The sequence below is a fragment of the Homo sapiens genome, chromosome 22 (genome assembly GCF_000001405.40).
Source record: "Homo sapiens chromosome 22, GRCh38.p14 Primary Assembly".
Lineage (NCBI taxonomy): Eukaryota > Metazoa > Chordata > Mammalia > Primates > Hominidae > Homo > Homo sapiens.
The window spans coordinates 49,258,725-49,264,745 of NC_000022.11; the positions used below are offsets into that span (position 1 = coordinate 49,258,725).

The 6,021-nt window shown below is 51.1% G+C and overlaps 1 annotated feature.

Moving 5' to 3' along the window:
- Window positions 2,121–2,636: an enhancer, noted in NCBI's record as "H3K4me1 hESC enhancer chr22:49656771-49657286 (GRCh37/hg19 assembly coordinates)". NCBI's record gives its function as "activates a minimal SCP1, AML or CMV promoter by ChIP-STARR-seq in naive H9 embryonic stem cells {active_cell/tissue: H9 hESC(naive)}" and the evidence as "EXISTENCE:reporter gene assay evidence [ECO:0000049][PMID:30033119]".

Consider the following 6,021-nt stretch of genomic DNA (forward strand, 5'->3'; position numbering starts at 1 on the left):
ACTCGTGGCTTCCAGATGGCACAGTTAAGGAAGAGGAGGCAGCAGGGAGCACATAAATCCTGACACTCACTAATAGACTTTATTAATAGTTCACGCATGGTGATCGGCCGGCCCCAAACACGCTCCCCGTAGTTACGGATGACCCGCTTCTATATTCTGGCACTGCTGGAAAAGACTTCATCGGACTCATTTTAATTATTTTCCAGAAGTGATCCATTTTCCATGAAAATGCATGTAGGGTTTATCTCATTCCTGGAAGTCATTACTTTGTCATGAAAAATTCCAAGTATCCTGGAGCAGGATTAGCCTCGACTTTAATCATAGAGCAGAGGGTAATTTTACCTACATTCTTGGACACAGTCATTTGAGCGATTGGCCTATGAAGAGCTATTGTCTAATTCTCCCTAAGGATGAGATCTCAGAGTCGGGGGTCTGCTTTGAGAAATTTGGGGCACAGCTGGCTGCTCTCTGAAAGACTTAAGACTCCAGAGAGTGCTGAGGAACTGGCTGCGTGTCAGGCTTCCAGGCAATGATGCTTTGAGAGAATCCTCCCAGGCAGTTGAGCTGCATGATGCCCAGACACAAGGAGAGACTCAGGAGTTCGAGCACCAGGCTTCGAGTCCTGATTCTGCAGCTTGTTCTGTGCATGAGGTGATCTTTATTTCAGGTGATATTTTTCCAGCATATGTCAGGTGCTAGGCACCATGCTGTGTGACGCAGATACAACAAAGACCAAGACAGGCATGGTTTCTGTTCTCTTGCTCGGTACCAACATCCTATGAATATTTTACATGTCACTAAAAAATCTGTAATTTTTTTCTATTTTCCTAAATAGATCCTACCAGTTAATCATGCACAATTCCACATCTCTCTATAATGCAATTTAAGTATCCATAATTACCAAGAGGGCCTCAGATTTTCTATTGCATGTTAACGCTCTTGAAGACCCTGGAAGCAGAGGGCTCGTCCTAACAAGGGCACTTCTCCCAAGTCATCTCGTGGGATGCAAAAAAGAATCATTGTGAAAAGAGTTTTTCACTTCTTAACAACTCACTCTATAAAGACAATGTCAGGCTTAATCAGAGCTGGAGATGCGGGGTGTTAAACGGAATGAATAGGAAACCTCCCTGAATCCCCAAGTGCCACTCTGAGAACAACAATGCTGGTTCCAGGAAAAAGAAAATGGCAAGAAAAGCCCAGGCACAAAGTGACATTTACAAGAATTGATGACAGACCTCGGAGACACCCAATTTCAATTACCCAGCACTGGTTACACACATGGGGCCCGAGAAGCCTCCAGGCCCAGCCTCCCCACCTGACTCGCTGCTTGCCAGCAACCCCTGCTGTGACTTTGCGGGGGACAGATGGGAGCTACTTGGAAGCCGATGGTCTCACCACCAGCACATCAGACTCGGGGGGCAGCATAACAGAGGGCACTGAGGGCTGGAGTCATCCACCTATCCACCCATCCATCCATCCATTCACCCATGCATCCACCCATCCATCCATTCACCCATTCATCCACCCATCCATCTATCCATTCATCCATCTATCTATCCATTCATTTATCCATCCATCCATCCATTCATCCAAACATCCATCCATCCATCCATTCATCCATTCATCCAAACATCCATCCATCCATCTATTAACCCGTCCATCCATCCATCCATTCATCCATCCATCCGTCCATTCACCAATCCATCCATCATCCATCCATTCATCCATCCATCTATCCATTTATCCATCCATCCATCCATCATCCATTCATCCATCCATCCATCTATCCATCCATCCATTCACTCACTCACTCCATACTCATGGTGCCAACACATCTCCAGCTTTCTTCTATGGGCAGAGGTTGCAGGAAACAAACCAAACAAAACCAATGTTCACCTTCGTTGGACCAGCAGTCTTTGCTGGGGAGGGGATAATAAACCAAACTGCATGGACCATGTCAGATGGTAACGAGGACACTGAAGGGAGGCAGGGTGGCTGCTGAGAGCAGCAGTGCACAGCGATGGGTGGGTGGAGCTGTTCACACCTGGCAGCCAGGAGGACCCTTTGGAGGCGGTGCCAGTGCACAGAGATAGGAAGGTGGAGCCCGTTCACGCCTGACGGCCAGGAGGACTCCTCAGAGGTGGTGGCAGTGCACACAGATAGGAAGGTGGAGCCCATTCACACCTGGTGGCCGGGAGGACCCCTCAAAGGTGGCGGCAGTGCACAGAGATAGGAGGGTGGAGACTGTTCACACCTGACAGCCAGGAGGAACCCTCAGAGGTGGCAGCAGTGCACAGAGATGGGAGGGTGGAGACTGTTCACACTTGGTGGCCAGGAGGGCCCTTGGTTGTGTCACAGTGCAGCAGAGGCCACAGTGAAATAGAAGCAGACTCCATGATGTACAGAGATGGCAGAGGGGACATCAGGAGGGCCTCAGAGAGGGAACCCCCTCGAGGGCAGAGGACGCAGGAGTGCCTGCTATGGGTAAACAGCCCCCAAAGCTGCTCCAGTGAGCATAGGTGTTAGGGGCATGGTGATGGGCGTGGAAGCCCAGCTAGGAGGCGGGTGACTGGGCTTGAGTACAGGTGGAGCTGATAAGAAGGGTTCAGAGTCTGGGTGTTTCAAGGGTGGACCCCCCCAGGTTTCCCAACCCACTGAATGTGAGCCCTGAGAAAGAGGGGCCACAAGGACCCCAGTTTTGTGCCTTTGCCGGGGATGGTCAGGAGCCCTTTAGACGTCCAGGAGTCACACCAGAAGCACGTGAGGCCTGGAAGCCACCATGCAGGAAGAAATGTCATTTAGGAAGGGGGAGCAGGGCAGGTGCGGGAGGACGGCTTTACTTAGAGAAGACAAAAGAGCCGAGGACTGGACAAATTCCTCAAAAGAGGCCTGCTGGGCATCGTGGTAGAGAACCAGCAGACATGGGCCCAGAGTCAGGGGAGTTGGGGCTCAGGAGACAACCTGAGGGACCTCCGGTAGGGTACCCCCACGGGCTTCAGCTTCCCCTTTTGTGAAGCTGGGCTGAGGAGCCTCCCTTGCCAAGAGGTTCTGCTTATCCCAGCCTGGACTGACAGGATGGGAAAGTCAAGGAGACAGACGCGAACCTCGCAGGCGCACGAGGCCCAGGGGAAGCGCCGGGAACCCTCTCGGTTTGTGCAGGAGCCACCCTGTGACTTTGCCAGGACTACCTGTCGGGCGCCAGGCAGCTGAGCCAGACGAACCGCCGGGCCACACTCACACCGACCTCAGCTTGTTTCAGGAACAAGCTTAGGCATGCAAGTAGGAATTAGCTTGTGCTAAACAGCAGGACAATGCAGTTATTCTCATGATTGTAATTTAAATTTGAATTCTACACTTTTTAATCCCCGTTATTTACTAGAGAATGAGGACGTCTACTCTGCGTGGACTTCTGACACCGCTCTCTCTGGCCGTCTGTTCTCCTGTGTGCTCCGGTACAGGCTGGAGGAAGCGCCACATAAGTGTAACCATCATTAGTATTTCGGCCTCCACCATCTCCTCTCTGCCTCACATGGTGGCCTTGGCCCTGAGGACACAGAACAGCTCAAGTAAGGGACTATGAACCCCCGACAGCGGCCCTGGGGACATCGCTTTCATTCACTTCTTCCCTCCCCCTGGGTACCGCAGGGGCCCTGGCCTCTGGATGAGAGCTGCTCCTGCAGGGGACCCCAAAGCCCTGTGATGGAACAATCTGGAAACCTTGCTCCTCACACTGGGCCATCTCTGGAGGCAATTTCCCGGCTTCCTCCTGTGAGGTCCAGGTCGAGGGATCAGGCTGCCTACGATGCTGCCACTGAGGGCCGTTGCTTCCTACGTGATGGACTTCTCACCTCTTCCTTCTCTTGTTGAGCCTTAACAATGAGAGTAAGAAAAAGTAGGCTGGGTGCAGTGGCTCATGCCTGTAATCCCAGCACTTTGGGAGGCCAAGGTGGGTGGATCACGAGGTCAGGAGATCAAGACCAACCTGGCTAACATGGTGAAACCCCATCTCTACTAAAAATACAAAAAAATAGCTGGACATGGTGGCGTGCACCTGTAATCCCAGCTACTCAGGAGGCTGAGGCAGGAGAATCGCTTGAACCTGGGAGGCAGAGGTTGCAGTGAGGTGAGGCTGCACCACTGCACTCCAGCCTCGTGATACAGCGAGACTCCATCTCAAAAAAAAAAAAAAAAAGGGAAAAAGTAAGAGTATTCTTCAATCACTCTGCCAGAGTCTGCTCTGTGTCACGGAGGAGGAGACTGAGGTCTGGATCAGGGGTGCCACTGACTCACAAGAACAAAGCAATGTGGGGCCACAGCAGGAATAAGACCCAGTGATTCCAGATCCTGCCAGATTATTCCAGATCATTGTCATCAGCCTCTTCCATGGAAGAATTCTCTCTGGTCCACACGGCATTTCCCAACGCCATCTGGGAGGCCTCCAAGGCCTGGGATATGGCGGCTTGAGATGCTCCAAGAGGGATCGTCTCGGTCACTGCTCTGCAGCTGCTCATTGATTTGAGTACACGTCTTAGTTTGAGGTCATTGTAGAGCCCTGTGTGGGTATAAGAAATGACACAGAGGGATCCTGTTCACGCTGCGTCCGGTTTCGCCCAGGGGTGGCATCTTGTAGGACAATAGCACGATGTAACCTCCAGGATGTCAACAGTGATGCAGTCAAGACCCTGGATGCCCATCATGCAGGGTCCTCTCCTGGTCCCCCCAGAGCCGCACCGCCGCCCTCCCACCCCGTCCCCTCCACCACCCCTGGCAACCTCTCATCTCTCCTCCATTTCCAAAATGTCATCATTCTCATGTCTCTATCAAGGACCTGGGAAAAATGGGGGGAGTGTAAGTGAAGCTCAGGGCGTAACTGCCTGGAGGTACTGCCCTGCACAGACATGTCTTCCAGGCAGGACCCCCAGGGCAACAGTCAAGGACGGGAAGGGAGGACACGTGAGCAGTTGATGTGAAACCTGGACGTCCTACGCACTGTGTTCACTCTGAGGAAGGCTCTGACATAGAAACAGAAGCCCTCAGAACTACCAGCAATTCACGAGGTTTACTGTCCATAGTCGTAGCTAATTTCCTCATTGATCTGGTGAAACGTATGCTTGGCCCTGGTTTTTTGTTTTTTTTCTTTTCTTTTCTTTTTGAGATGGAGTCTCACTGTTGTCAGCCAGGGCTGGAGTGCAATGGCGCGATCTCAGCTCACTGCAACCTCTGCCTCCCGGGTTCCAGCAATTCTCCTGTCTCAGCCTCCTGAGTAGCTGAGATTACAGGTGCCCACCACTGTGCCTGGCTAATTTTTGTATTTTTAGTAGAGATGGAGTTTTGCCATGTTGGCCAGGCTGTTCTTGAACTCCTGACCTCAGGTGATCCACCCACCTCGGCCTCCCAAAGTGCTGGGATTACAGGCGTGAGCCCCAGCACCCGGCCTGTGTGGCCCTGGCTTTTCACTGAGACACTATTTTGTCCAGCATCCCTCCTGCTAAGAGTTTCCATCGTGTCCCGTGGAAGGCGGTGGCTGGGAAGTGGCTGCCTGGCTATTGGATCTGCAGGGCTGTGGCCTTATTTTGGATTGTTTCTTCGTCTTTCTCCCTCAACCCTCCCTCACCAAATTCTCTCAAAATATTCTGCTGAGTGATGTAGTTCAACCACAGAGTTCCCTTCCTGTTCTAATTTCTGGTTTTAAATTAGATCGACTGTTTCAGGTTTCATTTTATTAACAGAATGAGGTAAAAGAGTCACCTTGTTTAAGTCTTTAATTTGTGGGAAAATGTGTTCACGTCTACCCCAAAAATCTCAGATGGTTGCTGCTTTTCTATTTGTGTAACTGAATCATGGCTTAATTGATTGTTACTGGAAACGTTTTGGGTTATGACTTTTATGTGTCTTTGTCCTGCATTTGGGTTTTTTATCGTGTGTGTGTTGTTTTGGCTGTTGACACTCTGGTTTATTGTGGGAAGAGGATCCTAGGAATCGTTTTCTGGCTCAGTCCAGTCTACGTTTGCTCTCCAGGAT